The sequence below is a fragment of the Homo sapiens genome, chromosome 10, assembly GCF_000001405.40.
Source record: "Homo sapiens chromosome 10, GRCh38.p14 Primary Assembly".
In the NCBI taxonomy this organism is placed as follows: Eukaryota; Metazoa; Chordata; class Mammalia; order Primates; family Hominidae; genus Homo; species Homo sapiens.
Genome location: NC_000010.11, coordinates 103,487,977 through 103,509,584, shown reverse-complemented (window position 1 = coordinate 103,509,584; position 21,608 = coordinate 103,487,977). Strand labels below are relative to the sequence as shown.

The following is a 21,608-nucleotide window of genomic DNA, read 5'->3' as shown; positions in this document are numbered from 1 at the left end:
CGGAGCTGAAAAATTCCTATCACCCAGTGATGTCGTAGCCATGATAACATCATCGTGCAATGCATTATGTTACCTTTTCTATGGTTAGGTGCATAAATACTTACCCTTGTGTTACCACTGCCTGCGGTATCTAGCACAGTAATGCTATATAGGTTTGTAGCCAAGGAACAATAGGCCACAACACATAGCCTAGATGTGCAGGAGGCTACACCATCTAGGTTTGTGTAAGTGCACTCTGTGCTGTTCCCCTATGACGAAATCGCCTAACAACACAATTCTCAGAATGTGTCCCCATTGTTAAGCCACACACAACTGTATTTGGTTTCTTTCTCTTTTTTTTTTTTTTTTTTGAGACAGAGTCTTGCTCTGTCACCCAGGCTGCTGGAGTGCAGTGGTGCGATCTTGGCTCACTGCAGCCTCTGCCTCCTGGGTTCAAGTGATTCTCCTGCCTCAGCCTCCTGAGTAGCTGGGACTAACAGGTGTGCGCCACCACACCCAGCTAATTGTTTTGTATTTTTAATAGAGATGGGCTTTCGCCATGTTGGCCGGGCTGGTCTCGAACTCCTGACCTCAGGTGATCCACCCGCCTCAGCCTCGTGCTAAGGAGGTGAAGCTAAGCCAAAGCCACCCAAAGTGCTGGGATTACAGACATGAGCCACCGCACCTGACCCTGTATTTGGTTTCTTTAACACAACCTCAACTTGGGGGATCAGATGAGGAAACCCAAGATCCCTAAAACAGCTTCTTTCACATTTTGCTGTGAAGGAGGCAGGACTCCCTCATGCACACAGAGCCCTAGTTTCCTGGCGGGCTGCCCTCTGAGGCCGAAACTTTCATGTGAGTGGCATTCTGCTCCCTCATGACCTATCCCAACCGCTTCCTCCAACCCCTGGGCCCACATCAGGGTCTGCATGTCTGGCTGGTCTCCTCAGTCCCACAGATCTGCAAACGCCAGCCTCAGAAAGGGAAAACCCCTTCTGCCCCTCTCAGGCACTGGCTAAGCCCTCTCAGCCCTCCAAAGAGGGGGTTTCCTGCATGGGACTTGCGGAGGGGTGGGTGAGAAAGTCTGTCCACCCAGACAGGGCTGGCACTCCATTGAGTCCAAGGTCTGCCTTTGTCCCTCGGGGCTGGAAGAGAAGTCAGGGCGCTCAGAGACAGAAAGAGGTCCTAGCTGTATCCTGAGGATGAGAGTCGCAAATGGATGTCACCCTAATGCTAATTCAAAGAGGTCCCATGAAGAGACCCAGGAAGAATCTGAGTGAGATTTGGAAGATCGGACTTTCACAGTCCTGTGGCAATTCGGACTCAGTGTCTCCTCTGTAAAGTGTGCTGTGAATTCTGTCATGGGAGGGGAGAGGGGTTGGTTACATGCTTTTCAAATTCGAGGGACCTGACCCTGTGAGAAGTCCCCAAGCCCAGGGGCGGAGACAAACAGGCGTTTCCTCCTCTCCCCACTTTCCCAGCTGTTGCCTGGTTCTCAGCTGCTCTTCCGCATTCTGTTTTACTACAGGGCCATCCATCCAGTCCCTCTTGCTTGTCCATCCCTTGACAGTTTTATAATTTAATAAGTGCTGAGCCCCAGGGTGGGGGTCTGGGGCTTTGATCTCCACTCTGGGAAAGCCAGAGCAACCTTGGCCTGTCCCGGCTGATTTATGGCCACCTTTCAGGGGCTTGTGTGTGTGTGGCTGGGAACTGGAACCTACAGGGAGGCGAGCCACCTGAGAGAGCCTGGCTGGGGCAGGGCTGCAGGTCCCTGGCAGAAAAGAAGCCAGGTGCACATCACACCGCAGGTGCTGCCTCTGCCCTCCTGGGAGCCACCTGTGACAGGCAGAGAGGACATTAATGATTGATGGTGTCCCAAGGGGTAGGGATGGAACCACAGCTCAGAGCCTGCCCAGCCTGCTCACCTGTCTCTCTTCCTGGCTGTAAAACCTCACACCCACGGCAGGAGCACAGGTCCCAAGTGTGCACACCCTGACCTTCCACAGAGCCCCCAGGTGCATGTTGACCACTGCCACAGATGTCAGGATTCAGAGATGGCACAAGCAGCTCCCCAACAGCTCCCTCTCCTGGACCCACCTCCAGAGCTTCAAGTTGACCTTCTAAAGTATCTCCCGAGTCAATCTGCTCGCCTGCCCAACTCTGACAGAAGCCACACCTCTCTCCTTGCATAAAGGACTGCAGTGGACTCCTGCCTGGCCCCTCTCCACCCCTCCCCATCTCTTGCCCCAAGAGCCTACTAGCACATCTAAGTGATCCTGTCACTCTTCTGTTTAAGGCTCTTCAGTGACTCCCCTCAGGCGTCACACTCTAAGCAGAGGAGCATCTGCATCACATTTAGGGCCAGCACTTGTCCCCCTCAGGTGTTCCTCTGGAGTCAGCTTCCAGCAGCTCCTAAGAGCATCATCCTGCAAGGTCAGAGCCTGGGGATCTTGTTACTGCTTGGTCCAATCCAGCTGTATGACCTTGGGCAGGTCACTTTCCCACTCTGGGGCCAAGGGGACCTGAGATGAGAAAGCAGGTAGGGCAAAACAATCTCCATGATACACTTGGGTTCTGATGTTTGAATCAGTGGCCACCAGCCCTTCCACCAGGAACCAAGCACAGGCCTGACTTTGTGCCTGTGCTTGGTACCTGCCAGACCTTCTCCCTTCGGGAAGAATGTGTTTAAAGGAACATTAGCTGGAAAGAGCAGGGCAAGAAAAGGAAAAGAAAGCAGAAGTGGGCCGGGCACAGCGGCACACACCTGTAATCCCCCGTACTTTGGGAGGCCGAGGCAGGCAGATCACTTGAGGTCAGGAGTTCAAGACCAGCCTGGCCAACATGGTGAAACCCTGTCTCTACTAAAAATACAAAAATTAGCTGGGCGTGGTGGTGCACACCTGTAGTCTCAGCTATTTGGGAGGCTGAGGCATGAGAATCGCTTGAACCCGGGAGGTGGAGGCTGCAGTGAGCCAAGACTGCACCACTATACTCCAGCCTGGGCGACAGAGTGAGACTCCGTCTCAAAAAAAAAAAAAGCAGACAGCAGACGTGAAGGAGGAGGAGGAGGAGGAAGAAGGGAGGACCCTCCTGCCAATAAGGACCGACTGAATTGGACAAGGCAGGGCCCTGAGTATGTCAGGGCAGAGACCATGCCCAGTACTCACCTCTCAATTCTCCATACCCAGCACCATGCCTAGCTCAGAGCAGGCACCAATACATGAAATGAATCAGCTAGAATATCCTTACAGCCTCATTCTACCCTGATTGGGCCAGAGTGCCTCCTCCCCTCCCTCTCAGGGGCACCTGGACACCCATACTTGGACACACATACTCTGGACTGCCCCATGCCCTGGAGAACATCAGCCTCTCAGCAGACACCAGGCAGGGGCTGGGGCAAGCCAAGTGGGAAGGATGAAGGTGAAAGCCAAGAGCATGTGGACCTGCCATCATCTTAATCCTAGCAACCTCGCCTGTCAACGTTCTCCCTTTTCCGTCCTTACCCCAACCGCTGGAGCAGCCAGGATGGCATTCTAGGGCAACAAGGCTAAAGAAGGCCATCTGGGTAAGCCAGCAGACATACTTCCCTCTTCTGTCCCCCCATCCCAAGAAGGGCCCTCTCTCCTCCTCCTCCTCCCCTGTCCCCACACAGTCTGTGATCAGCAATGTACTTCCACGGACAGAATGAGTGAGAAGCGGGTGGGACACCTCTGAGAGGCAAGGAAGCAGCTACTTAATGATTTTCTGCTGAAAGTTCCTTGGCCAGGAGGGCTGGGGTGACTCTGGCCAGGGCTCAGCCCTGCTGTACCCGGCAGCAGCTCTGAGCCAGTCCTGAGCTCCTTCTCCTAAGAACACCCTTCATGTGGCCTCCATACCCAGCTCAACTGGGGTAGTACTGCCCCGTCTAGGGTGCTTTTTAAGATACAGAAGAGCTGGCTGGCTGGACATGGTGGCTCATGCCTGTAAACCCAACACGTTAGGAGGCTAAGGTGGGAGGATCACTTGAGGCCAGGAGTTTGAGACCAGCCTGGGCAACATAGTGACATCCTGTCTCTACAAAAATTAAAAAATTAGCCAGGGCTGAGAGCAATGGCTGAAGCCTGTAATACCAACATTTTGGGAGGCCAAGGTGGACAGATCACCTGAGGTCAGGAGTTCAAGACCAGCCTGGCCAACATGGCAAAACCTTGTTTCTACTAAAAAATACAAAAATTAGCCAGGTGTGGTGGTAGGTGCCTGTAATCCCAGCTATTCGGGAGGCTGAGGCAGAGAGAATTGCTTGAACCCAGACATGGAGGTTGCAGTGAGCTGAGATCGCACCAGTGCACTCCAACCTGGGCAGCAGAGCAAGACTCCGTCTACCAAAAAAAAAAAAAAAAAAATTAGCTGGGCTTGGTATTGTGTGCCTGTAGACCCAGCTACTCAGGAGGCTGAGGTGGGAGGATTGCTTGAGCCCAGAAGGTTGAGGCTGCAGCAAGCCAAGGTCACAACCACCACACTCCAGAGCCTGGATAACAAGGCAAGACTTTGTTTCTTTAAAAAAAAAAAAAAAAAGATACAGGAGAGCTATTATTTTTTTAATGGCACATTGGCATTTGGAGCGGCCAGTGGCATTTAATCGGCAGAGGCCAAGGATGAGAAATGAACAGTTCTCGCCTAACGTGCTAGTAGCTTCCCATCTAGGAACTGAGGCCAACCCCTACTCATTTTCAGGTCACTTCCTAGAGAAACCTTCCCTGATCCCCAAGACCAAGTCAAGTTCCCCCCTTATAGCTCCCTAGTTTCTCCTTCAAAGCCTTTACCCAGAGATAATTGTTTGGGTAAGAAATTAAAGAAGTAGTGGAGAAGAACTGTTAAAGATAGCGGGGCCTCTGGCCTCCAGGAGGTGGAACGTAAACACCCACCCCTGTGGAGCGTAACCCCCCCACCGCTTAAGTGTGGGCTGCACACAGTGACTTCCTTCCAAAGAATGCAATAGAAAGGGAGGAAAGTGTAACTTTAACTGCACAATGGAGAGACCTGACAAGCACTCCCTCAGCCAGGCGCTCAAGGTCAACATCAACAGCAATGAGTCATGTTGACAGCATGTGCCGTTGATATGATGGGAAATGGCACTTTACCTCTGTGGTCTTTCACTCCAAAACCTAAAACCGCAATCTAATCATGAGAAGAACACCACAAAAATCCCAATAGAGAGACAGTCTACAAATACGTAACCAGTAATCCTCAAAACTGTCAAGGTCATCAAAAGCAAGGAAAGTGTGAGAAATTGTCACAACCAAGAGGAGGGAGACTAAGAAAACATGACAACAGGCCAGGCACAGTGGCTCCCGCCTGTAATCCCAGCACTCTGGGAGGCCGAGGAGGGCAGATCACAAGTTCAGGGGTTCAAGACCAGCCTGACCAACATGGTGAAACCCCAGCTCTCTAAAAATACAAAAATTAGCCGGGCGTGGTGGTGTGTGCCTGTAATCCCAGCTACTCAGGAGGCTGAGGCAGAAGAATACCTTGAACCTGGAAGGCAGATGTTGCAGTGAGCTGAGATGGCGCCACTGCACTCCAGCCTGGGCGACAGAGTGAAATTCTGTCTCCAAAAAGATAAATAAATAAATAAATAAATAAATAAATAAATAAATAAATAAAATACTAGCCAGGCATGATGGTGCACACCTGTAGTCTTAGCTACTCAGGAGGCTGTGGAGGGAGGATCCATTGAGCCCGGGGGGTGAGGCTGCAGTGAGCTGTGATCACGCCACTGCACTCCAACCTGGGCAGCAGAACAAGACCCTGTCTCAAAAAAAAAAAAAAAAAAAAGCCAGGGGGAGCACAGCATGAGCTCTAGCACATATATGTTAGCAATTGTGATCTCCAGATTCATTTTTATGCATTTGTCATTTTTGTTCCCATCTGCCTTCCCACTAAAGGGTAAGCTGGAAGTGGTGAGCACTCACCTATTGCATTTCTCACCGTATCGGCGTGCCCAGGAAGGTGTCTAGCCCACGGCTGATGGCCCTCAGCTGATGCTTAGTTTAACAATGAAATGAGCTCTCCCACCTACCTCTTACCGTCCCCATCAGTGCATCCCACAAACCCCAACTCTCATCCTCAGAGAACTTCAGTTCCCAAGCCCAGTGCCAGAGCCCCACCTCCCCTTGGAACTGTCACTAGAGCAGAGAAAAAGCCAAGGCCTCCCACCTGCCTCCCAGTGACTCCTGCTTATTCCTCCTCCTCTTCTCTTAGCCCTTCTTTTTCTCTAAGTTCTGCCCTCTTACCCCCTACAAGTGTCAACACCTGCTCATTTCCCAAAGCCATCCGGGGGATGACTCCTGATAAGCATCTTTTAATAAACTCTGGAGCTGGATCTGTCATCCAGAAGCTATATTCTCCCTCTCCCCAGCCCCTCACCACCTCCCACTTCCTGGGCTGGCCCATTAGCGCCTCTGGTCTGGCCAGGCGGGACCCACAGGCTCCACAGGGCCTTTGGACTCTGGCTTGCTGGAAATGGCCAAAAGGCAGCCCAGGCTATTTGGGAAGCTGGCCCTCCTATCGGCCAGCTTGTCTCAGCAGCCAGGGCCAGTTCTGCCTGTGCCACCGAGCCTGATGCTGGCCAGTTCACTTCCCTCCATCCCTGAGGCAGGTTTCCCAGGCGTTACCAAGGAGACCACTTGCATCCTGCCCAGGGTTGCCAAAGCAACCGGCTCAGCGTGAAGCAGCCCCTCAGTTCTAGCCCCTGGGTGTGCAGGTCCAGGAATGAGACAGGCACAAACTAACAGGAAACAGGCGGCCCTGGCACACCCTGGGCAGTGCCCAGCTCCCACCCTCCTTCCTATCCTCACTCTTCCTCCTTTTCTTACTGCTTTTGCTCGTCCTGCCTCCATCTTGGGCTCTGTGATTTAGAACCAATGCCTGTGCCTCACTGTGCACACCTTGGAAGTGAGCACATGCCATCTGCTATGGACTGAATTTTACCCGCCCCCTCAATATTCATATATTGAAACCCTAATGCCCAATATGACTATATTTGGAGATAGGGTCTTTAGGAGGTAATTAAGTTAAATGAGGTCAGAGGGGTGAGGTCCTGATCTGATAGGATTAGCGGCTTTATAATAAGAGGAAGAGAGAAAGATCGTTCTCGCTCCATATGCACACACCAAGGACAGGCCATGTGAGGCCACAGCAAGAAGGAGCCACCTGAAAGCCAGGAAGAGGGCCCTCAATGGAACCTGACAGTGCTGGCACCTTGATCTCAGACTTCCAGCCTCCAGGACTCTGAGAAAATGCATTTCCATTGTTTAAGCCATCCAGTCTGTAGTATTTTGTTATGGCAGAACAAGCCGACTAAGACACCATCCCAGAGGGCCCAGGAAAAGAGTCCTAATATGGAGAAATTCCCCCCAAGATCAGTTTCCTCGCTGATCAGCTTTGGTGTCCTGAGTAGAGATCCCAGCCCTGCTCTTTCCTAGCTCAGTGTTTCTGGGCAGCACTCTTCACATCCATTAATCTCAGCTGTCTCGTGTATAAAATGGGAATAATAAGAGCCTGGCACAGTGGTGTGCGCCTGCAGTCCCAGTTACTCAGGAGGCTGAAGCAGGAGGATCGCTTGAGCCCGGGAGTTTGAATCTAGCCTGGGTAACATACAGAGACTCTGTCTCTACAATAAATAAATAATGGCCGGGTGTGGTGGCTCACGCCTATAATCCCAGCACTTTGGGAGGCCGAGACGGGCAGACCTCCTGAGGTCAGGTGTTCGAGACCAGCCTGGCCAACATGGCAAAACTCTGTCTCTACTAACAATACAAAAATTAGCTGGACTTTGGTGGCAGGCGCCTGTAGTCCCAGCTACTCAGGAGGCTGGGGCAGGAGAATCACTTGAACCCGGGAGGCAGAGGTTGCAGTGAGCTGAGATCACGCCATTGCACTCCAGCCTGGGTGACAAGAGGGAAACTCCGTCTCAAAATAATAATAATAATAATAATAATAATAAATAAAGTGGGAATAATACCTACCTCTCCTTTATGGGGAGATTAAATGAATTTATTTACATGAATACACCTAGCATCAGAACTTGGGCTTCTTAAAAATCCTTTCATTGCTGGTTTTTGTTGTTTTTTTTTCCTGCCTATGAGCAGTGGTCCTGCTGCCCATAGCTGTGGGTTGGAAATGCTTTCAGACTTGCCCATGGGAACTCCAGATGAGCAGGTCAGCTTGGCTGTCACGCCCAGCCCTTTCAGCGTGGCCTAGGACAGAAGGCTGACAGCCTCTGTGAACCTCTCAGCAGCTCAAGATGCCTCATCTCCTCCTCTCCCCAGCCTGCCTTCCACCACTGTTGGTGCTGTTGAAATAAAATCACTACATGCATCTTGCTCAAAAGCTGTCCATGGCTCCCAATGCCTACAGGATAAAATCTAACCTCCTCGTCCTAATATCATAGGCCCTCCAAGATATGACCCTAGCCTACCTTCAAAGATTGACCTGTTAACCTCCCCACTGGGGACCCCACATCCAGGCAAGAGGACTGCTCACCATCCCTGAACACATCCTGTGTTTCTCTGCCTCTGTGCCTTTGCTGCCAGCCCACTCACCAAGACACCTTTCTAGCTCCCCTCCAAATCTCCCCCATCCAACTCTGGGCTCTCCTCCTCTGAGGAGCCTGGTCCCACCTCCTCCAAGCATGCAAGAGTAGGACTGTTCTGAGGCCCCAGAGTCACAACAGTTCTCAGATCTTGAGGACCCTGTTAAACACGCAGGTTTGAGGGTCCCATCCCCAATATATTCTGAGTCAGCGGGTCTGAGCTGGGGGCTGGGAACCTGCATGGTATACATGCTTCCAGCTAATGCTGATGCAGGCAGTAGAAAAACCTCACTCTGAGAAACACTGGCCCCAAAGAACCACAAGTTTCCTCCAAAGTGTCTAAAACCCCGAAGAAAGCGTAAGGGGGAGGAGGCTGGGAATTCCAGACTAGCACAGCCCTCCTGATCTTCTGGTTAGCCAAGGGAGAAAGCATCAAGAACCCCATTGTGTGCCCTTTCCCGGCCCTGGGGCTCTGTCCAGAGACGCAAAAATTACTCCCCCATCTCTCTCCCACAATGAAAGACAGAGCCCACCCAAGGCTAAATGCTACAGGGGCAGGATAATACAGCGATCACAATAATAAACTCTAAAGTCTGAGAGCCCTGGCTTTGAATCCCAGCCCCATCAGTTTCTAACTGTGTGGACTGGGATAAGTTACTTAACCTCTCTTAGCCCCTTTTCCCCCATCTGTAAAACAGTGACAATGCTACCTCCTTCTGTAGGTTGTTGGGAGGGTATTAATGGAAATAATCCACATATAAGAACTTGGTACAAAGTAACCACCCAGTGCATGGTAGCTATTGTAAATATTATTATGATAATTAACATAACAGGGTTCAAAGGTAAAACCGAACTGAAAACCAACAGGGCATGCAGGATGGGTGCTCTGGGTTCAACACGGGGCTGACGCAGCCAGTCACTCTGAGGAGGCCACCAGGCACCCCCTAGATCCGTCTGCTGCATTCCCGGGGGTGGAGAGCTGGATGAGCTCACCTAATCTGCAAGCGTCATGACAACCAAGGAAGGAGCCCAGACAAGAGCTGAGGGAAGATCTGTGGGTTGACCAAAGAATGGAGACCTTGAATATCCCATTATGGTGACTGAAGCGGGGAAGGGTATGATGAAGATAGTACTTTGGGAGAATCACTCCGGCAGCATCGAAGGAGGGACCGGAGGCAGAGAAGCCAATTAGGATGGCAGCTGTGGCAATATCTGGGATGAGGACTCAGATAGGGGAAGTAGCAGCGAGAATGTGAATGCAGAAAAATGGCTAGAGGCTGAGCACAGTGGCCCCAGCATTTTGGGAGGCCAAGGCAGGAGGTCTGCTTGAGTCCAGGAGTTCCAGACCATCCTGGGCAACATGGCAAGATGCCATCTCTTAAAAAAAAACCTACAGAAATAAGCCAGGAGTGGTGGCGTGGGCCTGTGGTCCCAGCTACTTGGGAGGCTGAGGCAGGAGGATCACTTGAGCCCAGGAGGTTGAGGCTTCAATGAGCCAAGATCCACCACTGCACTCCAGCTGAAAGAAAAGAAAAGAAAAGAAAAGAAGGAAGGGAAGGAGGAAGGAAGGGAAGGAAAGAAGGAAGGAAGGAAGGAGGGAAGAAGAGAAGGAAGGAAGGAAGGGAGGGAAGGAGGGAGGGAGGGAGAGAAAGAAAAATAGCTAAGACCTTGTCCAAGGATGAGCCTTCCCCTGCCCCTGCTCTCATCCCCAGAGAGTAGTGAGGAAATTCAGGGTCTACAGACACTCTGGCCCACCACAAGAATCAAGACCCTTAGTCAACCTTTGCAGCTTCTCCTTCAGCCCCCCAGCAGCCTCAGCCATCATAGAAAAGAGACTGAAAACAACAGGTGTCTCGCTGGCGTCACACCCAGCCAGAGCTGGAGGGGGACGGCCTTCCTACAACTGTCACAACCAGTGACTTTGTGAAGTATCCAATTCAAGAAGCACCACCTTTTGAAAGATGGGAGGTGTACTCTTAGGTGTATACCCAGAAGAACCGAAAACAGGTGTTCAAACAAAGACTTAGACACAGATGTTCATAGCAGCATTATTCATGAAAACCAAAAGGTAGAAACATCCTAAAGTCCACCAACTGATGAATGGATAAGTGAAATGTGGCATACTCTTACAATAGAATATTATTCAACCACAAAAGGAAAAAAGGTGCACGCTACAACATGGATGAAACTTGAAAAGATTATGCTAAGTAAAAGACGCTTGACACAAAAGGACAAATATTGTATCCTTCCATGTATATTAAACGCCTGGAATAGGCGAGTCCATACAGACAAAGAGTAGATTCGTGGTTTCCAGGGATTCAGGGGAGAGGGTAACAGGAGTGACTGCTTAATGGGCATGGCATTTCCTTTTGGGATGATAAAAATATTCTGGAATTAGGTAGAGGCGGTGGTTGTACAATATTGTAAATGTACTAAATGCCACTGAATTATACATTTTAAAATGGTAAATTTCAGGTTATATAAATTTTACAATAAAAAACAATGGGCCTGGCGCGGTGGCTCACACCTGTAATCCCAGCACTTTGGGAGGCCGAGGCGGGCGGATCACAAGGTCAGGAGATCGAGACCATCCTGGCTAACACGGTGAAACTCCATCTCTACTAAAAATACAAAAAATTAGCCGGGCGCGGTGGCGGGCGCCTGTAGTCCCAGCTACTCGGGAGGCTGAGGCGGGAGAAGGCGTGAACCCGGGAGGCGGAGCTTGCAGTGAGCCGAGATCGCGCCACTGCACTCCAGCCTGGGCGACAGAGCGAGACTCCGTCTCAAAAATAAAAAATAAAAGGAGGTAGCCCATCCAGTCAGGCACTCAGAAAGACCTGGGCAAGGAGGAAAATCTTTATTCTTTGTATTTTTCTCCAAGAGGCATGAACCTCCTGTGCACCCTACCCCAGTCACTCTGTGCCCCTCACTGAAAATATATACATAACTTCCATATACATATACTTTCTATTTCATGTAATATATAGATATACGCTCAAGCCCCTCCAAGCCTTTACTGTCAGTGCCTTTCCCCCTTCTTCCACACCCTAGGACTCTGCTGCATCCCTTGCTTTCTGTCCAGTTCCTGCAGTTCCCTCCATGTCCAGCTCAGATCCTCCCCTGATACCCCTTGTCTGACCTCTGCCCACATATCTGGGTTTCGACAGTACAACCAAGCAAACACTTGATTCCATTCACTCCCTCATCCATGCCTTTTGAGTAGATCTCCAGCCTGGGAAAGCCCAGGGGTGTCTTATCTCTGAGCTGGGCACATGGGAGCTCCTCGGGCACTGCCTGTTGGTTCTAAGCCCAGAGCTACACCGTGGACCTCTCCCCTGAACACTCCTAGACCAACGCTGTTCAGAACCCAGTGGGAATCACCAGCAGCAGAGTGGGGTCAGTGTGTTCCCAGGAAGAAGACCAAAGTCTATCACCCGAGAGGCGATGGTGGGGTCCCATGTCCCATGTCATGTCAGCCTAACAGCCAGACCAATCTTAGATCTCCAATCAGTCCCAGGATCCCCATTATACCAGGTCCCTTCCAGTTGTTTTAATTAAAATGGTGAGGAATCAAGAGACTGAAATTATGTAAGGAGAGAAAAAAATCAAGACAGTCACTCCACCCCTACTCCCAGCAAATTTCTGGATGAGCACTGACAAGAATTAGAGATGAATTCAAGCTGAGTACAGACGCCATCCCAGCAGAACTCTGGCTAGGCAGTTAGCATCACAGCCTATCAGGTCAACACCAACACAATTAGAATGAACTTCTGGCTGACCACTGATATACCAGAGAAGACTCGTAGGTCAATGCTGATACATTTAGAAGAGAATTGGGAATAAACACTAAACAATTACAGAATAAAGGTGATGGCTCTATTAGGGTAGAAAGACGGGAAGAAGTCCTTAGAAGTCAAGCTGAGAAGGAGGATCAGTGGACCTTGGGTGAAGGACAGAGCCAACAACTGGCGGCCTTCATGGGTACCTTCTGTCCTTCATTTCAGGCTTAGTAGGGGCGGGATCAAAATTCCCATGGTCACCTACAGTGGTGTGTGGATGGGGCCCCCACTCCTGCCTTCTGCCAAAGACCCTAGCCACAGAGACCTCAGATCCCCACAATTCCAAATTTTAGATTAAAAAGATGCAATTAGTTGGGAGCTCTCTGGGTTTCCACAGAGTCAAGGATGGAGCAAGACCTTCTCAGGAAGATAGTCTGTGAATATTAAGGGCCAACTAACCCCTGCCCCCAGCTAACCCTTGCCCCCTGAAGGACAGGGCCAAGTTTTGCCACTTTAATTTGGGCAAATAATTATTCTTTTCCCTCATTATTCTCACTTGCAGAGAAGGTTGAGCTGAACGATATTCATAGGTTCATTAGGAATCTGTTTCCAATGCTCAGAAACAGTCTTCATACTTGCTAACACTGATAGCTTATTTCTGATTACAAAAATAATACTTCCTTATTATAGAAATTTTAGAAAAGAGCAAAATATAAAAAAGAAAAAATGCAATCCCATATGATCCTATACCCAGAGGAAATAATTGTTAACCCTTTGGAAACTTTACAAGCATTTTTGCTTGTTTTGTTTTTGTTGGGGTTTTTTGCATTCACACCACTTTTTAAACAAAATTGGGATCATACAGTCTTCACAACTTTGTATTCTGTCGTTATACTGTGAGCATTTTCCACAGTCATCAACTATTCTTCACAAATATAATTGTAATCACTGCATAGTACTCTACCAAGAATATATACCATGATTACTGAGCATTTAGGTTATCCACCTAGTATAAATAACACTGCCATGAACATCCTAGCCTAGTGCCATAAGTATATATTCCTGCATCTCCACTTCCTTAGTATCAATTCCTCAAGGTAGAATTACAAGGTCAACAAACTGATTTTTTTTTTTTTTTTAGCAAGACAGAGTCTCGCTCTGTCGCTCAGGCTGGAGTGCAGTGGAACGATCTCAGCTCACTGCAACTTCCATCTGCCAGATTCAAGGGATTCTCCTGCCTATCTGCCTCCCAAGTAGCTGGGATCATAGGCACGCACCACTATGCCCGGCTAATTTTTGTATTTTTAGTAGAGACAGTGTTTCGCCATGTTGGCCAGGCTGGTCTGGAACTCCTGACCTCAAGTGATCCACCTGCCTCAGCCTCCCAAAGTGCTCGGATTACAGGCGTGAGCCACCGCACCCTGCCAACAAATTGATATTTTTAAAGTATCTTGACATGTATTGCCATATTAATTTCCAGAAAGACACAACAAATCCACTGATTTTCCTGAGCCAAGTGAAAGCTGAAGTTCTGAAAGAGCTGGAGTATTAGAATGCAGGACAGTGGTCCTATCTCTCCTCCTCTTCCCTGGTCTTAAAAGTTAACTGTTCAGCAAAAGAAGGGACAGAATTCCAAGTCAAAAGATAGGGGTCTACAGCCTAGCACCTAGCGCCGAGGTCTGGCTGGCTTTGGGAACCTGAAGCAAGCCTTGGTTCTCCTCATCTGTAAAATGGGTATAGTGTGATTAGCTCTGCTCTGCTGACTACCCCAAGCAGTGTCCATGCTCACTGAAAATGTGTTTGAGAAAGTTCGATGCCTTGTGTTAAAGGGCACTATTGTTATCCTTCTCATAACCTGAGGAGCTTAGGAAGTGGGGTATTCTTTCTGAAAGCCCAAGGGCTTCCCTTCCTGGCTTTTAGCCATCATGCCCAGGACAAGTGCCACTGGTTCTGAGGTGACAGAAAAGCACCTTCCGGAAGGAATTTAGTAGGGTCTGAGGGCCCGGGAGGACCCAGCAGTGTCTTCCAAAGGTCAGAGACAGCATTGGAAGATCCAAGACAGGAATGGCAGGCTCCGAATGGGGAGACTGGGCCTAGGGCCACCCTGAGGGTGCTGAGTGGATCTGGGGAGGTGAAGAGCAAAGACATTCCTAGTAAATGTCCCTCTGTTTCAAGGCTCCCAGACCCTCTTTTCTAGGGCTCTGACTGGATATCTGGTCTTTGGGAAAACCAGAAATCAAACTAATTCAATGGATGCAAAAACCCAACGGCTGCAAAGGACCCCAGGAACCAGCAGCTCTGACCCTTTCTTCCAGGCTGCTGTAATCCTGTCCTGAATTTTTAAAACCCTCCCATTGGAAATGCAACTAGTGCTCCCAGCCTGGTCTCTCCAGCCCTAGGGCCGATGGAAAGGAGACCCATCGAGGTGCCTCCCTGGAGACACGGACGACCCAAGCTTCCCTCCTCACTCCCCACTCCCCTATCGACCTGGCAAACATCCTTTCCCATCTCTTCAGGCTCGCCTAAGACCATGGCCTGAGGGGACTCCAGTGACGTTCCCAGTGCCAGCAGACAGAACTGCGCAGACCCCGCGGGACGCCATCCTCCATCACCATCATCGCCGGCTGCCCTCCACCCCCAGCCCACTCCACGGCCAGAGGTGCATCTCCGGCCTCCAGACACGCACAACAGGTGGCGTCTGCCCGCCCTCCCCAACCACACCTCCCTGGCCCTCCACCTGCGCCCCAGTCCTCCAGCAGCGCTCGGCCGGGGAGCCTACCTTTGAGGTTCTGGGGGTGGCCCCGCGGCGCGCGGCTCGGGTTTCCTCGGGGCAGCGAGGGGATACTGGAGAAGTTGTTACCCATGGCATCCGGCCCCAGGAGGTTCGGCGCTCGCGGGTGGGGGCGAGGCCGGGCAGGCGCTGAGGTGCGGTGTGCGAGTGTGCGCGCGCGGGTGCGCGCCACCGGGGGAGGGCCCTGCTGGGGCTGCAGCCGGGGGCGGGCGGGCAGCTCCTCAGCTTCCTTTCTCTGGACTTCGCGGTCCTTGGCGGGTTCCGCCCGCCACGGGTGTCCTGGCGCAGGCTGGGCTACCTGCCTCCCATGCCCCGTGGCGGGAGCGGGGGCCACAAGCAGGGCCCTGGGCCGGGGCCGGGGACGCCCGGGGCTCCCCGCTTGCTCCCCGGGACGCTAGGGTTCCGGCTGGGGGTGGGCGGCGCGGCGGCTCCGGCGCGCTCCCCCGGGGCCATAGAGTCAGGGTCGCTGGCGTGGGCGTTCGGCGGCTCCGAGGCAGGCTCGGTTACCGCCCCGCGGAGACGGCCGCGGCGGCGATGTGCGTGGCTCCCTCCCGCCCGCGGGTCTGCGTGGAGCGGGGCTCGGCGGAGCGCGGGGCGTTCTGGGCGCTCCGACGCAGCTGGTGTCCCCCGACCGCCGCGGTCCCGCCCGCGCCGGGTCCCTCCTGCGACCGCCGCCCCCGCCCCCCGCCCCGGCAGTCTCCAGGATTCCCTCGCTCCGGTTGTTATGGTGACAGCTGCGCCGGTGAATGAGCGTCTTAGTGACACGCGCGCGCCCGCTAGGCCAGATGTGGCCCCGGGGCGCGCCGCGTTCCCGTAGCCGCAAGCTCTCGGCGGCGCGGGTCGGGGTAAGACATCAGGCGAGTATGGTGGCACCCGGGGCTGGCCTTATTCCCAGCACGGAAACATGGAACTTGCACTTGAAAACAAGGGGAGCAGGGCCGCGAGAACGCCGAGCTCCCCGGATGCGGGGGCGGGCGAGCCAGCACTAATGTTCGGTTTCCCTAGCTCCAGGTACCGGGCCTGGCGCAGAGTGGAGAGCCCAGGGAAACATGTAAATGAGCGAGCGGATGCTTGGATAAAGTAATTGAGATTAGAACCCCGGCACTTGACCCTCCGTTCTCAGCCAGGCTAGGGGCACTAGGGCAAGGGTTCAGAGCAGGAACCCCGGGCAGTCTCACTGATGCACAGATGCCACTGAGGGCCTTTGAATGCCCGCGGACCAGACTCACAAGCCTGGAGCTCTGGCCAAGCTGAGGGAACAGATCTCCGGGACAGATCATCAGAAGACCACCAGCTCTGAACTGAGTGGTTCTGTTAGCTATAACAAGGTGGGGGAGAGGAGCCTCTGCAGCCTATGGCAGTCAAAGAAGGCTTCCTGGAGGAAGGGGGTTTCAGCAAGGGCCCTGCTCATGTGGCTAGTGCCTTCCTGTAGCTCAACACTGCACCAAGAAGCCTTCAGGAAGGGAAACAGAAGTCATTCTTCTCCTTCCTGGACCCGGGGCATCTCTCCTGGTCTATCAGGGATGGAAGATGTTCCAAGGTTCCCCCCAGGGAATCAGACTTCCTGCTCCTCTAAGTCATCTCTAGCTCCCTGCTCTGGCTTCAGCAACTCAGATCCAGAGTCCAGTGAAGACATGGGTGGGCAGGGGGACATCTCATGTATCCTTTTCTGTAATAAAGGTTCTTCCCCCAAGTCTCCATTTGGCAGCTCCTCATTATCTAGGCACAATTCGTGTCCTGACATTCCCTGACTGCCCCAACTAAAGGACCCCCTCCACTGTCAGTCACTTTCCACAATATTCCATTTTATTTTCATCATAGCTTTTATATGGAACTTGTTTACAAGTAGCCTTTCCTCGTTTATCTTCTGCCTCCCTGCTAGAACATAAGCTCTGTGAGGGGAGAGCACAGGTCAGTCGTGTTCACCAGGGTGTCCTTACCCACTGGGGGAATGCCTGGCATGTGACAGATTCTCAGAAAATAATTGTGGAATGCATGCTTCCCACTGTGGGCCAGGAGGCTCCACTGAGATCCCTGGGGGCAGAGCCTCCTGAACCACCCTTTATTTTCCTCTCCTACTCTCCTCTCTCCATCCCCATTCCAGGCATTCTACCCTTAAATGTCTGGGACTCCAGGCAAGCTAGAAATATCTGTGACAGCCACTGTCTCTCTGGAATCTGGAGGGAAAGGCAGCCCCGAACCCGGCCTCCAGCCTCCCAGATGCCCAGGATCACGTGTGCAGGCAGCTGCAGATGGCCACAGCAGGTCAGGGATGGCTGTCTTATTTATGGGCAGTATCTTCCCAAGGCTCACTCCCAGCTAATGACTCATGCATCAGAAATCCACAGGCTCTTAATGGCAACACACTCACACATGTGCTAACACACCGCTACACTATCTCACACACTCACACCTATACAAGCACACACACTTATATTCCCCCTGAAATCTGCCGGAATGAAGTCACTGTGAGTGGCCACTAGAATCAGGCCTTTCACAAGTTAGAACAAATATGAGGACTCTGCATAGTTGAGACTCATCCTGCTAGAGTGTGTTTGAAGTACAAGGGCCTAGCTAGGATTTACAGACGGTGGCTCCAGGGAAGCCTGGTGTGGGCAGGGGAATGGGGGAGGGGATGAGGCCCCAAAGGTAGAGCACAGCAGGGATGTCTTGAACTGCTGACCTCAGGTGATCCACCTGCCTCGGACTCCCAAAGTACTGGGATTACAGGCATGAGCCACCGCGCCTGACAAAGGGATGTCACAGGCCCCACATGGCCTAGACCTGGGGCTATGGGCAAAGCAGGGGAGAGAGGAAGACGTCAAAGGGAAGGAGGGAAGTGAAGGCCAGAGGCGGATGCTCACCTGAGTCCAGAGGCAGCCCAGGTTCTGCAGTTCAGGGCAGCGTGATCCCAGGGAGTCCCAAAGGAAGGTGAGAGGCGTCAGGGACAAAGGCAGGGAACTGAGGGTTGAGGAGCTGATGGGAGTATCAATAGGGCTGGGATAGGATGAGGTAGCCAAGGCATCCCTGGCGCAAAATTGAAGAAGGCGCCAACTCTCAAGTTCATGCAGATACCAAGCTTGCACTTGCGCGAGCCTGGGAATTAGGTCCTCTTATATTTCACGCCCTAGGCCCCTCTCTACCTTCACCCTAGTACTTCAGGGAGCTCTGTACTGGAAGAGGGGACACCACTGTTAGAGTCAACTAGGTCTCTGGCCAGGAAGGGACCTAGAGGAGGTTGGTGTGGCTGCATAGGACTCAGAGAAGTTGAGCGTGGCCCTTCTGAGGAGTCCTGTGCCCCAGCAACTCCTCCCTGGCAGGGACTTAGGGTAGACCCAGCTCAGAGGGTTAAAGAAGGCCAGCAGTCTCCTTACCCCCAGACCTTGGGCAGAACTCAGAGGCCTTCCTGCCATCCTTCCCCAAGGCAGCTCATAGGGGTGGGGTGCCTGGGTGGTGGCTCTGATCCAGAAGACCCTTCCCAGACCCATCCTGGAAGGGAAGAGGAAGAAGGAAACTGCCAGGGAGACTGGGGCTGATGAAGTCACTGTTTTGATGGCTTCAGGGGAAGCTATTAATACCCACAAGGTGATGCTCCAGCACCAGTCACCGTGGCAACACCCACACACCCAGCAGTGCAGATTCTGCGGGCAGTGCCTGAGGGGGTGGGTGTCAGTGCACACGTGTGCACTTTCGCGAACACCTGTGTCCTTGTATGTGCATGCGTAGGTGTTGTGAGTGCACACACAGGCATGCAGGAGAGGGAGGCCCCAGGCAGGGACCTGAGGAAGCTTCCTTCAACAGCAGCTCCACTCCCACCTTCCCTTCCTTCCCTGTTGCTCTCTTCTTGCTGATTTCTCTTTTTTTTTTTTTTATACAGAGTCTTGCCCAGTGGGAGCACAGTGGCACGATCTCAGCTCACTGCAATCTTGCAACCTCCACCTTCCAGGTTCAAGCAATTCTCCAACCTCAGCTTCCCGAGTAGCTGGGACTACAGGCACACACCATCATGTCCAGCTAATTTTTTTTCCTTCTTTTTTTTTTTTTTTTTTTGAGACGGAGTCTCGCTGTGTCACCCAGGCTGGAGTGCAGTGGCGCGATCTCAGCTCACTGCAAACTCCGCCCCCTGGGTTCACGCCATTCTCCTGCCTCAGCCTCCTGAGTAGCTGGGAATACAGGTGCCTGCCACTACGCCCGGCTAATTTTTTGCATATTTGGTGGAGATGGGGTTTCACCGTGTTAGCCAGGATGGTCTCAATCTCCTTACCTCGTGATCCACCCGCCTCGGCCTCCCAAAGTGCTGGGATTACAGGCATGAGCCACCGTGCCCAGCCAATTTTTGTATTTTTAATTGAGATGGGGTTTCACCGTGTTGGCCAGGTTGGTCCCTAACTCCTGACCTCAAGTGATCCGCCCGCCTCAGCCTCCCAAAGTGCTGGGATTACAGGAGTGAGCCACCGCACCTGGCCCTTGCTGGTTTCTTTCACTCTCTACCCCCTTCCCACCCCCTCTCGTCTTTCCCCCTGCCCTTCCTTCTCTGCTTCTTCCCACCCTGGTCACTTTCTCTCCTTGCAACCTCTGTTCTTCCCACCCTGGCTGTCCGCTCCTGCCTGGTTCGCCTCTCTCTACCTCCCTTCCTCTTTCTCTCTCTCCATAGCTTCCAGATCCATTCAAGTCTTGAAGAGTTACCGCGTTGATAAAATAATAGCATATTTAACTGAGAGTCTACTCCCTTCCCTGAGCCTCTGGATACTGAGTTCAGAACCAACCAGAGTGATGACCTTTCCTCAGGCAGACAAAAGTGGGGCGCCTCTAGGCCAAGCTGGACTCCCCTGAATTGAGACCACCCTAGTCAATGGCATGACACCTCCCTCCAGGCAGAGAAATTAACCTTAAAATGGGAAACAGCCACAACTATCCCTGGCTACCACAGGTAGCACCCTCCCATTCCCCAAGTCCCAGCCCATTGTTTCATTTTGTTTGGGTTTTGTTTATTTGTTTGTTTGTTTGAGACAGAGTCTAACTCTATCACCCAGGCTGGAGTGCAGTGGCATGATCTCAGCTCACTGCAACCTCTCCTCCTGGGTTCAAGCAATTCTCGTGCCTCAGCCTCCTGAGTAGCTGGGATTGCAGGTGCGTGCCATCACGGTCAGCTAATTTTTGTATTTTTAGAAGAGACAGGATTTTGCCATGTTGGCCAGGCTGGTCTTGAACTCCTGACCTCAATTGATCTGCCCACCTTGGCCTCCCAAAGTGCTGGGATTACAGGCGTGAGCCACTGCACTCCGCCTGGTTTTGGTATTTAGAGCTGAGGGTCTCACTCTGTCACCAGGCTGGAATGCAGAGGCGTGATCATAGCTCACTGCAACCTCGACCTCCTGGGCTCAAACGATGCTCCCACCTCAATCTCGAGTAGCTGGGACTACAGGCATGCGCCACCACACCTGACTAATTTTTTATTTATTTGTGTTTTGTAAGAGATGAGAGCTCAGTTTGTTGCTCAGGCTGGTCTTGAACTCCTGGCTTCAGGTCCCGACTAGGCCACCCAAAGCTCTGGGATTATAGGCATGTGCCACCATGTCCACCCAGCCACCAGCCCATAGTTAATCAGACTATCAGAAAAGCTGTCGGGGGAGAGGGTGGTGTCCTGTCTGAACTTCAGGGGGTGGCTGGACAAGTTGGAGGGGTAGATCTCTGAGTGCCTGTGCCTGATGCCTAGTGCATACTCAATAACTAGTTATTAAATAAATGAATGAATAAAGAAATGGATGGATTAAGCTGTCGGGCCCTCCCTCTGAAGGATGGAAGTCTGTGCTGCCCATTTTAGGATGGAATGGGCCCTATGCCATCTTATTCCCAGGTATTTTTGGGATTCAGCTTCACTCATTGCCCAGTGACCATTTATTGAGCACTACCTGTATCCCTGGCGCTGATGAGATGCAGTTTCCTTGCTAGCACCATGGGGCAGCCTGTCCTCTGCTTTTTGTGCACTCCAGTCCCAGTTCCCCACCTCCCAGGCCCAGGTTCAGAGCTGAACATACAGCAGGTCTGACCGCATAGCTGGGCTGGGCACGTTGCTCTGAGCTCCAAACTTTTTTGATCACGCACCCCTAGCAGTAATAAATTTTTAAAGTGTGTACACCAATATATGTATATTTCTTTATTTATAATTTCTAAAAATGCACTACTGTATTCATATTATGTATATTATGAAACATAGACTAATGATATTGAAAAAGGGATCATCTTGCCCTCCTCCTGGGGTGCACACACACTCTAGACTAATAATTCTCAAACTTAAACGTGCATCAGAATCATCTATGAGGCCTTGGGGAGAGGGGGAGAAAGTTACTAAAATGCAGACTCCCAGACCTCACCCCTTGAGACTTAGATTGAGCAGAGTATGATACAGGTCATTTATTGATTACACATTGGGAAACTGCTCCACATGGTCACATGTTCTAGTTGTGAAGACGGTGTTTAAAGA

At 51.8% G+C, this 21,608-nt stretch overlaps 1 protein-coding gene and 1 long non-coding RNA gene across 2 annotated transcripts in view, besides 6 other annotated features; one reads left to right on the top strand and one right to left on the bottom strand.

Moving 5' to 3' along the window:
- NEURL1 (neuralized E3 ubiquitin protein ligase 1) overlaps positions 1 to 15,880 on the bottom strand; it is a 98,842-nt gene extending 82,962 nt beyond the window's left edge. Inside the window, exon 1 of the mRNA NM_004210.5 lies at positions 15,113 to 15,880. Within this exon, the coding sequence (NP_004201.3) occupies positions 15,113 to 15,197 (85 nt within the window). The 5' untranslated portion in view covers positions 15,198 to 15,880. The remainder of the gene's footprint in view (positions 1 to 15,112) is intronic.
- The window catches only part of NEURL1-AS1 (NEURL1 antisense RNA 1), a 37,840-nt gene that overhangs the window by 7,858 nt on the left and 8,374 nt on the right, over positions 1 to 21,608 (top strand). Inside the window, exon 3 of the long non-coding RNA NR_120675.1 lies at positions 14,850 to 15,024. This is a non-coding gene — a long non-coding RNA (NEURL1 antisense RNA 1). The remainder of the gene's footprint in view (positions 1 to 14,849; positions 15,025 to 21,608) is intronic.
- Positions 4,799 to 5,093: an enhancer, noted in NCBI's record as "tiled region #14515; K562 Activating non-DNase unmatched - State 8:EnhW". NCBI's record gives its function as "activates a minimal TATA promoter and a strong SV40 promoter by Sharpr-MPRA in K562 cells {active_cell/tissue: K562}" and the evidence as "EXISTENCE:reporter gene assay evidence [ECO:0000049][PMID:27701403]".
- Positions 14,986 to 15,535: an enhancer, noted in NCBI's record as "H3K4me1 hESC enhancer chr10:105253807-105254356 (GRCh37/hg19 assembly coordinates)". NCBI's record gives its function as "activates a minimal SCP1, AML or CMV promoter by ChIP-STARR-seq in naive H9 embryonic stem cells {active_cell/tissue: H9 hESC(naive)}" and the evidence as "EXISTENCE:reporter gene assay evidence [ECO:0000049][PMID:30033119]".
- Positions 15,202 to 15,301: a silencer, noted in NCBI's record as "silent region_2784". NCBI's record gives its function as "represses an Ori minimal core promoter by ATAC-STARR-seq in GM12878 lymphoblastoid cells {active_cell/tissue: GM12878}" and the evidence as "EXISTENCE:reporter gene assay evidence [ECO:0000049][PMID:35858748]".
- Positions 15,382 to 15,511: a silencer, noted in NCBI's record as "silent region_2783". NCBI's record gives its function as "represses an Ori minimal core promoter by ATAC-STARR-seq in GM12878 lymphoblastoid cells {active_cell/tissue: GM12878}" and the evidence as "EXISTENCE:reporter gene assay evidence [ECO:0000049][PMID:35858748]".
- Positions 15,522 to 15,671: a silencer, noted in NCBI's record as "silent region_2782". NCBI's record gives its function as "represses an Ori minimal core promoter by ATAC-STARR-seq in GM12878 lymphoblastoid cells {active_cell/tissue: GM12878}" and the evidence as "EXISTENCE:reporter gene assay evidence [ECO:0000049][PMID:35858748]".
- Positions 18,901 to 18,970: a silencer, noted in NCBI's record as "silent region_2781". NCBI's record gives its function as "represses an Ori minimal core promoter by ATAC-STARR-seq in GM12878 lymphoblastoid cells {active_cell/tissue: GM12878}" and the evidence as "EXISTENCE:reporter gene assay evidence [ECO:0000049][PMID:35858748]".